At 38.4% G+C, this 18,447-nt stretch overlaps 1 annotated feature.

Moving 5' to 3' along the window:
- Positions 2,939 to 3,481: an enhancer, noted in NCBI's record as "H3K27ac-H3K4me1 hESC enhancer chr6:49354927-49355469 (GRCh37/hg19 assembly coordinates)". NCBI's record gives its function as "activates a minimal SCP1, AML or CMV promoter by ChIP-STARR-seq in primed H9 embryonic stem cells {active_cell/tissue: H9 hESC(primed)}" and the evidence as "EXISTENCE:reporter gene assay evidence [ECO:0000049][PMID:30033119]".

Consider the following 18,447-nt stretch of genomic DNA (forward strand, 5'->3'; position numbering starts at 1 on the left):
AGAGGAGCTTTTGTTATTATTTGTATCATTAAACACGGTATTATGGGCTGAATTATCCTCTCCACCCCCGCCAAAATTCATATGATGAATTTCTAACCCCCCAGTACTTTAGAATGTGACTATATTTGGGAGAGGGTCTTCACAGAGGTAATTAAGTTAAAATGAGGTCATTAAGTTGGGCTCTAATCCAATTCAGTCAGTATCCTTAAAAGAAGAGGAGATTAGATATACAGGGGGAAGACCAAGTAAAGACACAGGGAGAAGACGATCATCAATAAAGCAAGGAGTGAGACTTCAGAAGATGTCAATCCTGCCAACACCTTGACCTTCGACTTCTGGTCTCCAGAACTATGATAAAATACATTTCTGCAGTTTAAGCCACCCCATTGTGGTACTTTGTTATGACAGCTCTAGCAAAAGAATACACATAGTAAGAGATTATGTTTGGACTGACAAATGAAATATGCTTTAAAATTTGTTTTCTGGTTTTGAGGAAGTAGCTTAAGCCAAAGAGAAACAAAGCCATGATTTGCTTTTTAGTTACAGTGTAGCCAAACATCATCTAATTGAGTTTTTGAATATGTGGCCTAAACTGGGAAAAGATTAAGCTTACTTATGAGTCAACATCCTTATTCTTTTGTATTTTGTTTGCATTCTTCTCTTGGCAAATAATGATATGCTTTTGCTTTTCAGAAAAGTGTACATGGATTTTGGGAGGTGGGAGGGTTAACTTTGCATATTGGGGCGTATTTATTACCTTCATATATGAAAGAAATAGTCCAAGTTCATTCTGGAGTTAGTGGTAAGAAAGAAAGCATTGCACAACATCCCAGATGTTTCTGCGACAGTTGGGAATTCCTAATGTGGCTCTGACTTCTATGTGGGAATCAAAGAGGTTTCAGTGACTTTCTTTGCTTGCTATTTCTAGTCTTCAAAGGCCCTTTGAGTTATGTACTATACAATAGAATATTCTCTTTGACATTAAAACTTTGATCCATCAGTATTTTCAACCAAAATATATTATACCCCCTCTGAGTACAGTGCAGAGAAACAAACAAACAAAAAAATAAATAAATAAAAGGACCAGATTCTGGCTTTCAAAGAAATTCCTAATCCAAACACAGAAAAGTCTGGCAGGATCCTTCATCAGTAAGGTAATGGCAAGCCAAAGAGAAACCCAAGCAAGGAAGAATGGAAACAGAGGAAGCAAGGAAGATCCTCTTCCATCTTCCACTACCAGAGAGAGAGAGAACAAGCCTAGTATCTCAGATCTTGCTCGTATGTTTCCTACCTATTCATGTTTAGCAGAACACAAACCAAACACCAAGAATGGAAAGAGGAATGTGAATCCTTTGTCCCCAGTGATACCCTCTGCTTTGTGCTGAACCTGCAAAAGAAATACACCGTGGAGCATCTGGGAAAACAGCACCGGAAACATTCAACTCCACCACAAGACCTTTGCACAGAATAAGACACCCTTCTCTCCAACCCACTCTCAATGAGAATCTCAGTGAATTCATTGAAAGTGAACACATAAAATGGGAAATTGACAATTCTGAACCATCATTCCACTTTATCCTCAATTGTTCCTCTAAACCACCTCCTTTCTTAACTTACCTGTGATGCATTTATGAAAATAATAATGACATATGCGGTTGAGAAAAAATTGATTTATTAACAATAAGACATGCTAGAGAAACATATGTAACCGTATTGTCTCAATGAATTATAGCATCACTAATTCTGAGAAAAAGATCATTTTGAATTGAGGAAAAGCTGATTTATATGATGCTTTAAAGAAAAGTATAATTATACTTAAGTTCATATAGCAGTTGGGACTAAGTAATATTGTTTATACAATACTTCTCAGTTTGTATAGATCTTTCAATAACCCTATTATGAAAGAATTATTGTATTCTCTCTTCACAGTTGACAAAACTAAGACTCAAAGACTAAATGACTTGCCCCAGGGTACTCACATAATAAATATTGTTCATATTTTTGAGACTATATTAAGAGTGGTCAAATGGAAGTTTTTCAGTGCCACTCAATTCTGAGAAGGGTAAATTAATACTCAGATTATAAAATATGTGTTTAAGACATATACATATATATAATGTTTTGAAATAGTCTGCCTAAAAGACATGAAAATTATTTTCTCTCAAGAATCTAAACTATGCTTTTCTAAGCGTGTATGTGTGATACTAATTTTCTTTTTAAAAAGTTTTTTTAATATACTATGAAAAACAAAACTTTGGCCCTGTTTCTGCCTGAATTAGTGTAGACTTTCAGCTAATTGAGTCAGTTAATGACTTTTTTTAAACTGTACATTAAAGAGGTAACATTCTGTTCACTGTGTTCTGTTTTAAGTGCCATAGTATTAAAAAGGGCAAGGGATTGGCAGAACGAAGTACAACCTCGTTCTATATTTAATTTTTTTTCTACAAGGGTCCAGCAATATAGCAGATGTTAAAAGTGACATTTATAGTTCAGGGAACCAAGTGATACACTGCTATCATAGGGAGTTACAGCCAAATCCAGGGAGGGGTTATAGAAAGAGAGAGTACATACTAAATTCTTCTGGGGTGCCTTGAAAAGGGAAACAGGTGGAGGAGCCAAGATGGCCGAATAGGAACAGCTCCGGTCTACAGCTCTCAGCGTGAGCGATGCAGAAGACGGGTGATTTCTGTATTTTCATCTGAGGTACCGGGTTCATCTCACTAGGGAGTGCCAGACAGTGGGCGCAGGTCAGTGGGTGAATGCACCGTGCGCGAGCCGAAGCAGGGCGAGGCATTGCCTCACTCAGGAAGTGCAAGGGGTCAGGGAGTTCCCTTTCCTAGTCAAAGAAAGTGGTGATGGATGGCACCTGGAAAATCGGGTTACTCCCACCCGAATACTGCGCTTTACCGACGGGCTTAAAAAATGGCGCACCAGGAGATTATATCCCGCAATGGCTCAGAGTGTCCTACACCCACGGAGTCTCGCTGATTGCTAGCACAGAAGTCTGAGATCAAACTGCAAGGCGGCAGCGAGGCTGGGGGAGGGGAGCCCGCCATTGCCCAGGCTTGCTTAGGTAAACAAAGCAGCCGGGAAGCTCAAACTGGGTGGAGCCCACCACAGCTCAAGGAGGCCTGCCTGCCTCTGTAGGCTCCACCTCTGGGGGCAGGGCACAGACAAACAAAAAGACAGCAGTAACCTCTGCAGACTTAAATGTCGCTGTCTGACAGCTTTGAAGAGAGCAGTGGTTCTCCCAGCACGCAGCTGGAGATCTGAGAACGGGCAGACTGCCTCCTCAAGTGGGTCCCTCACCCCTGACCCCCCAGCAGCCTAACTGGGAGGCACCCCCCAGCAGGGGCACACTGACACCTCACACAGCCTGGTACTCCAACAGACCTGCAGCTGAGGGTCCTGTCTGTTAGAAGGAAAACTAACAAACAGAAAGGACATCCACACCAAAAACCCATCTGTACATCACCATCATCAAAGACCAAAAGTAGATAAAACCACAAAGATGGGGAAAAAACAGAGCAGAAAAACTGGAAACTCTAAAAAGCAGAGCGCCTCTCCTCCTCCAAAGGAACGCAGTTCCTCACCAGCAATGGAACAAAGCTGGATGGAGAATGACTTCGACGAGCTGAGAGAAGAAGGCTTCAGATGATCAAATTGCTCCGAGCTACGAAGGACATTCAAACCAAAGGCAAAGAAGTTGAAAACTTTGAAAAAAATTTAGAAGAATGTATAACTAGAATAACCAATACAGAGAAGTCCTTAAAGGAGCTGATGGAGCTGAAAACCAAGGCTTGAGAACTACGTGAAGAATGCAGAAGCCTCAGGAGCCCATGCGATCAACTGGAAGAAAGGGTATCAGCGATGGAAGATGAAATGAATGAAATGAAGCAAGAAGGGAAGTTTAGAGAAAAAAGAATAAAAAGAAATGAGCAAAGCCTCCAAGAAATATGGGACTATGTGAAAAGACCAAATCTACGTCTGATTGGTGTACCTGAAAGTGACGGGGAGAATGGAACCAAGTTGGAAAACACTCTGCAGGATATTATCCAGGAGAATTTCCCCAATCTAGCAAGGCAGGCCAACATTCAGATTCAGGAAATACAGAGAACGCCACAAAGATACTCCTCGAGAAGAGCAACTCCAAGACACATACTTGTCAGATTCACCAAAGTTGAAATGAAGGAAAAAATGTTAAGGGCAGCCAGAGAGAAAGGTCGGGTTACCCTCAAATGGAAGCCCATCAGACTAACAGCTGATCTCTCAGCAGAAACTCTACAAGCCAGAAGAGAGTGGGGGCCAATATTCAACATTCTTAAAGAAAAGAATTTTCAACCCAGAATTTCATATCCAGCCAAACTAAGCTTCATAAGTGAAGGAGAAATAAAATACTTTACAGACAAGCAAATGCTGAGAGATTTTGTCACCACCAGGCCTGACCTAAAAGAGCTCCTGAAGGAAGCGCTAAACATGGAAAGGAACAACTGTTACCAGCCACTGCCAAATCATGCCAAAATGTAAAGACCATCAAGACTAGGAAGAAACTGCATCAACTATCCAGCAAAATAACCAGCTAACATCATAATGACAGGATCAAATTCACACATAACAATATTAACTTTAAATGTAAATGGACTAAATGCTCCAATTAAAAGACACAGACTGGCAAATTGGATAAAGAGTCAAGACCCATCAGTGTGCTGTATTCAGGAAACCCATCTCATGTGCAGAGACACACATAGGCTCAAAATAAAAGGATGGAGGAAGATCTACCAAGCAAATGGAAAACAAAAAAAGTCAGGTGTTGCAATCCTAGTCTCTGATAAAACAGACTTTAAACCAACAAAGATCAAAAGAGACAAAGAAGCCCATTACTTAATGGTAAAGGGATCAATTCAACAAGAAGAGCTAACTGTCCTAAATATATATGCTCCCAATACAGGAGCACCCAGATTCATAAAGCAAGTCCTTAGTGACCTACAAAGAGACTTAGACTCCCACACATTAATAATCGGAGACTTTAACACCCCACTGTCAACATTAGACAGATCAACGAGACAGAAAGTCAACGAGGATACCCAGGAATTGAACTCAGCTCTGCACCAAGCAGACCTAATAGACATCTACAGAATTCTCCACCCCAAATCAACAGAATATACATTTTTTTCAGCACCACATCACACCTATTCCAAAACTGACCACATACTTGGAAGTAAAGCTCTCCTCAGCAAATGTAAAAGAACAGAAATTATCACAAACTATCTCTCAGACCACAGTGCAATCAAACTAGAACTCAGGATTAAGAATCTCACTCAAAATCGCTCAACTACATGGAAACAGAACAACCTGCTCCTGAATGACTACTGGGTACATAACGAAATGAAGGCAGAAATAAAGATGTTCTTTGAAACCAACGAGAACAAAGACACATACCAGAATCTCTGGGACACATTCAAAGCAGTGTGTAGAGGGAAATTTATAGCACTAAATGCCCACAAGAGAAAGCAGGAAAGATCCAAAATTGACACCCTAACATCACAATTAAAAGAACTAGAAAAGCAAGAGCAAACACATTCAAAAGCTAGCAGAAGGCAAGAAATAACTAAAATCAGAGCAGAACTGAAGGAAATAGAGACACAAAAAACCCTTCAAAAAATTATAAATCCAGGAGCTGGTTTTTTGAAAGGATCAACAAAATTGTTAAATCGCTAGCAAGACTACTAAAGAAAAAAAGAGAGAAGAATCAAATAGACGCAATAAAAAATGATAAAGGGGATATCACCACCGATCCCACAGAAATACAAACTACCATCAGAGAATACTATAAACACCTCTACGCAAATAAACTAGAAAATCTAGAAGAAATGGATAAATTCCTCGACACATACACTCTCCCAAGACTAAACCAGGAAGAAGTTGAATCTCTGAATAGACCGATAACAGGATCTGAAATTGTGGCAATAATCAATAGCTTACCAACCAAAAAGAGTCCAGGACCAGATGGATTCACAGCTGAATTCTACCAGAGGTACAAGGAGGAATTGGTACCATTCCTTCTGAAACTATTCCAATCAATAGAAAAAGAGGGAATCCTCCCTAACTCATTTTATGAGGCCAGCATTGTCCTGATACCAAAACCTGGCAGAGACACAACCAAAAAAGAGAATTTTAGACCAATATCCTTGATGAACATTGATGCAAAAATCCTCAATAAAATACTGGCAAACCGAATCCAGCAGCACATCAAAAAGCTTATCCACCATGATCAAGTGGGCTTCATCCCTGGGATGCAAGGCTGGTTCAATATATGCAAATCAATAAATGTAATCCAGCATATAAACAGAACCAAAGACAAAAACCACATGATTATCTCAATAGATGCAGAAAAGGCCTTTGACAAAATTCAACAACGCTTCATGCTAAAAACTCTCAATAAATTAGGTATTGATGGGACACATTTCAAAATAATAAGAGCTATCTATGACAAACTTACAGCCAATATCATACTGAATGGGCAGAAACTGGAAGCATTCCCTTTGAAAACTGGCACAAGGCAGGGATGCCCTCTCTCACCACTCCTATTCAACATACTGTTGGAAATTCTGGCCAGGGCAATTAGGCAGGAGAAGGAAATAAAGGGTATTCAATTAGGAAAAGAGGAAGTCAAATTGTCCATGTTTGCAGATGACATGATTGTATATCTAGAAAACCCCATTGTCTCAGCCCAAAATCTCCTTAAGCTGATAAGCAACTTCAGCAAAGTCTCAGGATACAAAATCAATGTGCAAAAATCACAAGCATTCGTATACACCAACAACAGACAAACAGAGAGCCAAATCATGAGTGAACTCCCATTCACAATTGCTTCAAAGAGAATAAAATACCTAGGAATCCAACTTACAAGGGATGTGAAGGACCTCTTCAAGGAGAACTACAAACCACTGCTCAAGGAAATAAAAGAGGATACAAACAAATGGAAGAACATTCCATGCTCATGGGTAGGAAGAATCAATATCGTGAAAATGGCCATACTGCCCAAGGTAATTTACAGATTCAATGCCATCCCCATCAAGCTACCAATGACTTTCTTCACAGAATTGGAAAAAACTACTTTAAAATTCATATGGAACCAAAAAAGAGCCCACATCGCCAAGTCAATCCTAAGCCAAAAGAACAAAGCTGGAGGCATCACACCACCTGACTTCAAACTTTACTACAAGGCTACAGTAACCAAAACAGCATGGTACTGGTACCAAAACAGAGAGATAGATCAATGGAACAGAACAGAGCCCTCAGAAATAACGCCGCATATCTACAACTATCTAATCTTTGACAAACCTGAGAAAAACAAGCAATGGGGAAAAGATTCCCTATTTAATAAATGGTGCTGGGAAAACTGACTAGCCATATGTAGAAAGCTGAAACTGGATCCCTTCCTTACACCTTATACAAAAATCATTTCAAGATGGATTAAGACTTAAACATTAGACCTAAAACCATAAAAACCCTAGAAGAAAACCTAGGCATTACCATTCAGGACATAGGCATGGGCAAGGACTTCATGTCTAAAACACCAAAAGCAATGGCAACAAAAGCCAAAATTGACAAATGGGATCTAATTAAACTAAAGAGCTTCTGCACAGCAAAAGAAACTACCATCAGAGTGAACAGGCAACCTACAGAATGGGAGAAAATTTTCACAACCTACTCATCTGACAAAGGGCTAATATCCAGAATCTACAATGAACTCAAACAAATTTACAAGAAAAAAACAAACAACCCCATCAAAAAGTGGGCAAAGGACATGAACAGACACTTCTCAAAAGAAGACATATATGCAGCCAAAAAACACATGAAAAAATGCTCACCATCACTGGCCATCAGAGAAATGCAAATCAAAACTACAATGAGATACCATCTCACACCAGTTAGAATGGCAATCATTAAAAAGTCAGGAAACAACAGGTGCTGGAGAGGATGTGGAGAAATAGGAACACTTTTACACTGTTGGTGGGACTGTAAGCTAGTTCAACCATTGTGGAAGTCAGTGTGGCGATTCCTCAGGGATCTAGAACTAGAAATACCATTTGACCCAGCCATCCCATTACTGGGTATATACCCAAAGGACTATAAATCATGCTGCTATAAAGACACATACACATGTATGTTTACTGCGGCACTATTCACAATAGCAAAGACTTGGAACCAACCCAAATGTCCAAGAATGATAGACTGGATTAAGAAAATGTTGTACATATACACCATGGAATACTATGCAGCCATAAAAAATGATGAGTTCATGTCCTTTGTAGGGACATGGATGAAATTGGAAATCATCATTCTCAGTAAACTATCGCAAGAACAAAAAACCAAACACCGCATATTCTCACTCATAGGTGGGAATTGAACAATGAGAACACATGGACACAGGAAGGGGAACATCACACTCTAGGGACTGTTGTGGGGTGGGGGGAGGGGGGAGGGATAGCAATGGGTGATATACCTAATGCTAGATGACGAGTTAGTGGGTGCAGCGCACCATCATGGCACATGTATACATATGTAACTAACCTGCACATTGTGCACATGTACCCTAAAACTTAAAGTATAATAATAATAAAAAAAAAAAAGAAAAAGGAAACAGAAGCACAAAATGGGATGCAAAAAAAATAGTTTAAAATTGAAAGCAATTCATAGTCTATTTTGAGGAAACAAGCAAAGTCACAAAAAGTAATATTTAATGTGAACCCATTTATTTACAAATGCATCACATATAGACATAGATATGACATATCTATGTAAATACAGCAGAGAAAAATATCAATACTACAAGATGTCAACAATGCTTAGAGTATGATTTTCTTTTGTCTTTTTGATTATCTGTAATTTCTGAAGCTTATAAATACATATAACTTTTGAAATGTTTAAGTTTATGTTTAGATAATTTTGGATAGTCTAATGAAACATGACACATGTATATAGGCTTGCACTGTGTGTGTAACTCCAGTAACACACTTCACATTACACTAGTCAACACTTGTCATCTGTCTTCTTCACTAAACTCTGAGCTCCTTGAGATCAGGACAGGGTCTTGTACTTCCAGATACTAAATTCCTAAAAAAGGAAAAAGAATGAAATTAATGTATATGTATATTATCAAACTAAATTCCTATAACAACATCGTAATCATTATCATCTCCATTTTACAGATGAAAAAATTAAAGTTTAGAGATATTAAGTAACTTAGCTAATGTTCTTCCATTAAGAACTGATAAGAGCTTAGATTCAGACACACATCTGCCTGAGCCCAAACTGATATTAGTCTTAAGTGTTGATGTGAGTTAAATGGAAGAAAGGAAGCAAGAAGTGCGAGCCATGCAGACCTAGGAAATGTTTAAAGTTTGAATGTAAAGCAAATGAATAGAATATAAAATAAAATATACATTAAGCAATTACTTAAAATATGTATATAAAATACACATAAATGATCTAGAATGTTCTCCCTCACTGGTACATCCCTCACTGGTTCAATTAAGAAAGTTGTAGAAGAGATTTCTGCCCTGAGAGGAGATGCTGTTAGGTGATACCATGGCCTATCCAACTTGTTTCTCCTCCAATATTTTATTAGGATCAGTCTCCCAATTTTTTTAATGACGGCCTCAGGTGATTTTAGGAACAAACTTGTTTATTTCCTTTGGCATGTTCTTCATTTGGTGGCAATGCATCCTGGGGTCACATAAATAAAAACAGCAATTAGAGGAAGTTTAGCAGCAGTGAAAGGACAAATGAAAAACAAGAGAAAGGCTCTTTGTTGCAATGCATCAGCAAAATTCAGTCCCACAGGTTTCGTGGAGTGTTTTTTAATAATTGAAAGTTATGCCAAAAGTAGTGTCTCTGGGACTTTATATTTAACTATTATGATACCTTTAATTAAAGAAGATATACCCATAGGTAAATGCTTAGGGCATACTAAGAAAATAGGACAGGCTCAGGTTATCTAAAAGTGTAGAAGATGTAGTTGATTTCCTCTCTGAGGTTCATATTTAGAATAAGCTTGATAAAACCAGTGACCAAATAAGTTAAGAATATAGATGTAAATGAGAGAGATCTAACAAGGAGTGCAATTTAGAGCTACCAGCTACCTACCTTGTCCAAGTAACACATTCTTTTTTTTTTTTTTTTTTTTTTTTTTTGAGATGGAGTCTCACTCTGTCGCCCAGGCTGGAGTTCAGTGGCACGATCTCGGCTCACTGCAACCTCCGCCTTCTGGGTTCAAACGATTCTCCTGCCTCAGCTTCCTGAGTAGCTGGGACTACAGGCGCACACCACCATGCCCAGCTACATTTTTTTGTATTTTTAGTAGAGACAGGGTTTCACCATGTTGGCCAGAATGGTTTTGATCTCCTGACCTTGTGATCCACCCACCTCAGCCTCTCAAAGTGCTGGGATTACAGGCATGAGACACCATGCCCAGCCCACACATTCTGAATTTGTCCCTGACTATAGGGTAAATCCTAAGGCATGAAGGTTGGGCTAAAAAATGGAAAATTCAGGTTGTTCATTCTTTGAATGTTTCTCAGGCACATGACCAAAGAAAGTTGCTCCATTCAGAAACTGGAACTTGATTTTTCTCCTAGATTATGAGTCACATGGACACTAATATTAGAAGTAATACATAGAGTATTTAATAAATAAAAATGTAATTATGTAATAACTGTAAAGTTTTGACATTCCAGAATGATATGGTTTGGCTGTGTCCCCACTCAAATCTCATCTTGAATTGTAGCTCCCATAATCCACATGTGTTGTAGGAGGGATCTGATGAGAGGTAATTGAATCATGGGGGCAGGTTTTTCCTGTGCTGTTCTCTTAATAGTGAATAAGTCTCATGAGATCTGATGGTTTTATAAAGAGCAGATCCCCCGCACATGCTCTTGCCTGCCACCATGTGAGACATGTCTTTGCTCCTCCTTTGCCTTCTGCCATGATTGTGAGGCTTCCCCAGCAAGGTCAAATTATGAGTCCATTAAACCTCTTTTTCTTTATAAACTTCCCAGTTCGGGTATTTCTTCATAGCAGTATGAAAATGGACTAATACACAGAATAAAACAAATATCTTGGATTCTTATAATGTAAATTTGTAGAAAATAGAAAATCTTTTTACCTATTTTATTTTTTACTTAATCTCTCAATTCTTATTTAGAACCTTAAAGCTTATAATCCTTATAAGTAGCACAAAATAAATACAGTCATGCACCACATAACCACATTTTGATTAAGGACATTTTGGTCAATGATAGAACACATATACAATGATGTTCCCATAAGATTATAAGACCATTGTTTTCCTATACCTTCTGTATGTTTAGATAGTTTAGATACACAAACACTTACCATTGTGTTACAATTGCCAACAGTATTCAATACAGCACTATGCTGTACAGGTTTGCAGCCTAGGACCAATAGATTAGACCATATAGCCTAGGTTTGTGGTAGGCTGTACTATCTAGGTTTGTGTAAGTGCACTCCATGATGATCACACAATGGCAAAATCACCTAACAATGTATTTCTTAGGTATTCCTGTTGTTATGCAATGCATGACTGTATGTCTGACAGAACTTTGTCATTATCAAGTTCGAAAAATTCTGGCAGAATGAGACAAAGAAAGACAATCTTTTCCTGAGAAGTGTTTTTGGGAAATCATAATAAAGGATTAACTACATTGATATTCCAGATACTGTTCAGGGCTCCAGATATACAAAGATAAATAAATAGCTCCTGATCACAAAGAATGCATTGTCTGTGAGGAATGTGGACCCATAAATAGATAATTATAATATTATGAATAATATTATGAAGTAGGTGCACTAATGGAGACCTGCACATGTGCTATGTGTGCACCAAGGAGTGACCCCTAACTTAGACTGTCGCATAATGAAAGGGCTTCCTAAGTATCTATTTGAGCTGAGATCAAGAATATGTGTAGGTATTAACCTGACATAAGGGTAAGGATAGTGTAGAGTAGAGCAGGGAAGGACATAACTGGCAGAAGGGGCAATACAGGCAAGAGTAACTCACTGAGAAAGCACAGTGGGAAACTCTAAAAAGCTCTAAATTGCTAGATTATACATTATAAAGCAGAGACTTAAGTGATATGGGTCTACTCAAATGCCCATCAATGAGTAGAAAAAGAAAATATGATGTGATATATATATATGTATTAGAATACTACTCAGCCATAAAAAGGAGTAAAATAACGGCATTCGCAGCAAGCTGAATGGAGTTGGAGACTATTATTCCAAGTAAAGTAATTCAGGAATGAAAAACCAAACATCATGTTCTCACTCATACATGGGAGCCAAGCTGTGAGGATGCAAAGGCATACAAATGATATAAAACATCGGACTTTGAGGACTAGGAGGAAGGGTGGGAGGATGGTGAGGGATAAAAGACTACAGATTGGGTACAATGTATACTGCTTGGGTGATGGGTGCACCAAAATCTCAGAAATCACCACTAAAGAACTTATTCATGTAACCAAACACTACATGTTCCCCAAAAACCTATTGAAATAAAAAATTAAAAATTTAAGCAGACAATAAAACAAAATAAAGAGATATGGGACTACAGAGTTAGGTAGAGAACAGATAATAGAAAAGAATATTTACCACATAAAAAATTTATCCTTGAGGAGTTATTGAAGGATTTAAAGCAATCACATGGTATCATCACACCCAAATTTGAAATGGATCACTTTGGTGGTCACTTGGAAAGTGTATGTGCAGAGTAAGGGCTGTGGCTTGAATGGGAAACATAGGGAGAAAGGACATTTTTTTTAAAGTGAAAAAAGAAGAACTCACACAAAAGTGTAAAGGAAATAGGCAAAGAAGTGTCAATAGAAGCAACAGACTGTTGTGTTATGATTGTCAAAGAAGTGAAATGTCCTTTTGAGAAGTCAAAAGAGAACAAAAGCAGCAAATGAACAAGATCAATCCAAGAAGACAATTCCTGAAAGATATCTGATAGAATTATATTTAGGAAATCATTAATGCCTTTAATCTTTACTAAGAGCAGTTTCCTTTTAGCAGTAAGAGCAAGAAACTAGAGTGTCATGGTTCATGGAGAAAAAGAGGGATAAGGAACAGCTAGTGATAGAATGAACATTTAGAGAAGTTGGTGTAAGAAGGGGAGAATTATTGGATGACAGAGAATGGATCTCTCAGCAAGGGCATGGATGAAGGCGAGTGAAGCAAGCCAGTCAAGAGAGAAAGATTAAGATACAGAAAATAGAGAGAAGACAATGGCTCAGGGGAAGTGTAAGAAGATGAGATCTTAAAAGTAGAAGAGTTGAAGGGGCAACCAAGCCTCCAGAAATAGGATTAAGGAGCCACACATTTATATCATCAATGTGAAAGTAAGAATTTGAGTAAAGTAAAATAAGGCTTAGAGCCCCATGTTTGTTTGTTTGTTTGTTTGTTTGTTTGAGGTGAAGTCTCACTCTTGTCCCCCAGCTGGAGTACAATGACGTGATCTCAGCTCACTGCAACCTCCACCTCCCGGGTTCAAGCGATTCTCCTGCCATAGCCTCCCAAGTAGCTGGGATTACAGGCACCTGCCACCATGCCTGGCTAATTTTTGTATTTTTAATGGAGACGGGGTTTCACCATGTTGGCCAGGCTGGTCTTGAACTCCTGACCTCAGGTAATCTGCCTGCCTCGGCCTCCCAAAGTGCTGGGATTATAGGCGGGAGCCACTGTGCCCAGCCTAGAGCCCCAATTTCTTAATGAAGAGGTGACACAAGTATAAGGATTGGCCTGATGCCAAAAGACAACTTTGGTTTGTTTGTATTGTCTATTCTTTATAGAACAAAATATTAGACTGGTACAATACATTTATGTTAACAATTTCAAACAGCATCTGGATAATCAGTCTCTTACCGCTAATCTAACCACAACTTACATCCTAAGTGTCTGAATATGCAACTTCTCTTCTCTGGGGAAACATGCTCATCAAATTCAATACAAATTCGTGCCTTCATCACTGGATCTTTGTGAATGCCCAGCACACCTGTGCAGTCATCTTCTGTATTAAAGCTTGACATGCTGTCAGTAAGTCTTGTGACAAAGGGGAATGTCAGGTTTTCCCTCCTCGAGGGTACTGTTAGAAAGAACAGCTTGTTCTTATTTAATTAGCATTGATTTTCTTGAAACTGGCTATTACCCTTAAGTCTCAATTTTTTTTAATTCCTTGAGATGAAATAACACTTCATTTGTTAAGTCTTATAAAAGCAGCATTCTTTCTAATGTCTTTGGCTAATTGAAGATTTTGCTACTTGTTTATATCTCATTTCTTTTGTGTTTAGGTCTGAGCATTTTTCTCATTATCAGAAATCTTTAATGTATGATATCAATTCATAATGGAGACAAAAGTGTGGTATTAATAAAATCTAGAGTTCCTCAAACCAGTGAATCCATATATCACGTCATACTCATCCTCTATCTTTTTTTTTCTAATAATGATTATATCACATTACACCAACCACCACCATACATACCACCATGGAAATGAATGAATTAAACACATGATAAAATGTGCCACTTCTAATCTGAACATTCTTTTTCCATGGATGCACCAACCTCTCACTGCTCTGTTTGGAGCCCAGTGCTGTATATACCAACTGCTACATTCAAAAGACAGTCCAACTAAACCTCACTTCACAGTGGCACAGGGTTAGTCTTTGAGGAGTCATTGAGAAGCCTGAAAGATTATTTGATTTTGGATGCTTTATTAAGAAATCTAGTAATAAGCAATGTTCACATACCTTTCCTACCCCAAAATTATGTCTTTTGGAAGATGTGTATACTCATTTGAGATCTATTTTTCTGTGTTCCAGGCACTGCCCTAAAGGATTTGAAATATTCATGCAATCTATCTTCACAACAGCCCTGTGTTATATTTATTAGTCACATTTTCAAGAAAAACAAACTAAAAAGGTTTAGAAATTTATGTAAATATCCATTACTAATTAGTGGCAAAGGAAGACCCTCGGAGTCCAGATAACCAGCTAACTAAAGAAAGAGCCAAACATAAAACTCAAGTTCCTGGCCGGTAGTCTTGTGTCACCACAGTAGGCAACCACAGTGGGCAAAAATAAACATCCAATTCCCTAATAGACTTATAAATTTGAAATCTCTAAAGAGCATTTGTGGCATTGATTGATACTGACATTTTCAATACTGAGGCTGCACTATCTTTCTTCTCTGGAGACTGAATGCTCTGAAGTTTGAAAATGATCAACCACAGAGTGTCTGGGGAACCTGAGTGATTATGCCCAAAACTGTGCTGTTCCAAGATCTCTCGGTGATAAGCGTTCATGCCCACTCTGCTGACAAATATAAATTCTTCCCCTTTTCGGGGTTTTCACTTCCAGAATATTTTCAATCACCTCACCTGCGGACCACTTATTCCCCAGCAGCATTGGCTGTGGCTTATGGTACCTTCCCTCCAAGAGTCCTCCGTGTGTTTTTCTCATAGAATCAGAGTTGCAGTTCCTCTGCACCAATATCTGCTGTTGCTCTGCTGATCTCAGGTCACTGAATACATTGCTTACTGACCTCCTCAGAGCCTGGTCATTTCCCTACCAATGGTCTTCAGCTATTGATACCTGTTCCTATCTCTTGTTTCCTCTCTCTTTCTTTCTCTCTCCAGCCATAGAAAACTTCACAGCAGAGCTTGTGGACTCCTGAATAAATCAGCTTTTTATTCCGATTTGCCGCTCCCATGGGCAAGGGGAAGTGATGTACGAAGTACGATAGGTGCTAGGATGTTCTAACGCAGTCATACCAGTCTCTACAGAAGCTATGCCTCATATGCCAGGTGCCATTTTCAATTATAGTGGCTTTTATGGTGATTTTTTTTCTCATTTACCTTATAATTTGTTTTTGCATTCTAACTACATTTGAGCCCCTTATCACTTAGGAACATTTCACATATGAAATAAATAATTACATAAATAAGTGTGACAGCCTTCATCAGTCAAACAAAAAAGGTGATTTAATTGCTCCTGTCAGATATCTGACTTCAGGCACCAGCTTTATCTGGAATTCCAAAAACATCTTCTGGAATTTACCACTCGATTCTCCTTCCGCAGATTTGACCCATTCTAGGGTTCTACCTTATGTCTCCACCCAGCAACTCCGGGGTCTTCCCCTCTAGCTGCAGCAGTTCTACGTTGCTTCTCTCAATATCAGAAGAATCTCATCTTCATCATTTCAAATAAAATTTTTTAGACTTACATTGATTGGACTCTTTTAAATCAATTACTCATCCGTAGCCAATTAGTGTAACTATGGAGAGGGCTATCCTGATTTGTTTAAACCAATCAGAATCCATTCCTGAAACTGTAAGTTTGAGGACCAGGGCCAGGGGCTAAGGAGTTTTTCCCCAAAGAAACCTGGAATATTACTACCAAGAAACACAAGAAAAATGAATGGCAAACAACAAAGTGTCAACTGCAGAGTCCCAACTGTCCTTAGGCAAATTGTACCTGTCAAACCCCACTCCTAATAGAAAGCATTGCCTAACTCAGTACATCAACTAATGGAGTCTTGGCTTCAGCCCTGTAACCACTCTTTGTTGCAATTCTAATTTTAAAATGTAGGTGTGAAACTTGTCCTTCTTTTAGTTGTCCATGATAGCCACATGTATATATTTCAGTCTGAGGTCAGTTAAATTCCTATATCCTTGATACCGACACTATTCTAGGTTACCACTATTAACTGCTTATCTGAAAGTTTGTATTTAGCGGTGATGAGACACTTTTCTATTTTATAACCAATACTTTAAAATTTGTAAACACAAGTGCATCTGGCCTAGAAAGAAATGAGGTTTCGAAATTCATGTATACATATATTCCCTGGACCTATCAGTGCCTCAAAGATCAAACTAATACTACCAGGGACACAGGGCATTGTGCCAGAGCATTAAAATAGTGAATCATGGTCGGTCCTTCCACTCTCACTCTTGGCACCATAAAAATCCCTCATACAAAAGAATGATTGGCATGAACAACACAGAGGGTTTTCTCTGAATATTTCATAAATTATCCATCAAATCTCCAGATCAAGTCTGATAAACTTATTTGATAGCAACTGAACATTACATCTGAGTATAATATTTCCTCACCTCAGCCTGCTCACATTTCATCTCTGTTCATCAGCTTCAATTCATAAATTCATAAATCTCACATAAGACTAAATTAGTTTAGGTGTGCCCTAAATTACCAACAAGTGTCTCCCAATAACATACTCATCTGAATCCAATATCAAAGAAGTTGCATGTTTCCTACTCAATTTATCAAATAGTATATCACACAACATCCTTAGTTCTATTTACATAAAATCTCAGCCAACATTTTAAATCTTATATAATTACAAAGAAAACAAAATGGTATAGTGGAGAGAAGAAGTTTTAGCATCAGATAGACCTGAGTCTTCCGAATACAAAGTCTGTATTTTGCATGCTGGGGTGAGAAAGTTTTTCAACTTATCCCAGTTTCTATAACTACAAAATGGTGATAATTAAAACATACCTCTTTAAGTGGTTGTGAGTATTAAATGGGGTCACAAACAAAACAGACCTAACCACATGTTCAATGAATGTGGGTTCCCTTACAGTCCCCTCAGATGGGTACCTGCTGTCCTCTACATCAACAATGATTAGTCATGTTGATAGTGTGTACCCTTGATTTTATTTGATGAAAATGGCCTTCAGCTCTGGTGCTGCTCCCCAAAATATGTAACCTCAGTTTAATCATGAGGAAAACATCAGACAAATCTCAGTTGAGGAACATTCTAAAAGATATCTGTATAGTAGTCCTCAAAGGTGTCAAGCTCATCAAAAATAAGGAAAGTCCAAGAAAATCTCATAGCCAAAAGGAGCCTAAAGAGACAAGGGCATTATGTAAAAAAACCAAAGGAAATGTGAATAGAATACAGATTTTAGTTAATAATTATGTATCAATATTGGTCCATTAATTGTAAAAAATGTACCATACTAATGTAAGGTGTTAACAATAGGGGAAATAGGAGAACTCTCTGTACCATCATTTCAATTTTCCTATAAATCTAAGACATAAAATAAAAATTGTACTTAAAATGTCCTTTGCAGCACATGGATGCAGCCATTATCCTCAGTGAATTAATTCAGGAACAGACCAAATATCTAATGCTCTCACTTGTATGTGGGAGCTAAGCATTGAGCACACATGGACGTAAAGAGGGAACAACAGACACTGAGGCCTTTGATGAGGGAGGGTTGGATGAGGGTGAGGATCAAAAAACGACCTAACTGGTATTTTGATGGCTACCTGGGTGACAAAATCATTTGTACACCAAACCCCAGTGACATGCAATTTACCCATGTGACAAACCTTTACATGT

Source organism: Homo sapiens, chromosome 6 (assembly GCF_000001405.40).
Source record: "Homo sapiens chromosome 6, GRCh38.p14 Primary Assembly".
In the NCBI taxonomy this organism is placed as follows: Eukaryota; Metazoa; Chordata; class Mammalia; order Primates; family Hominidae; genus Homo; species Homo sapiens.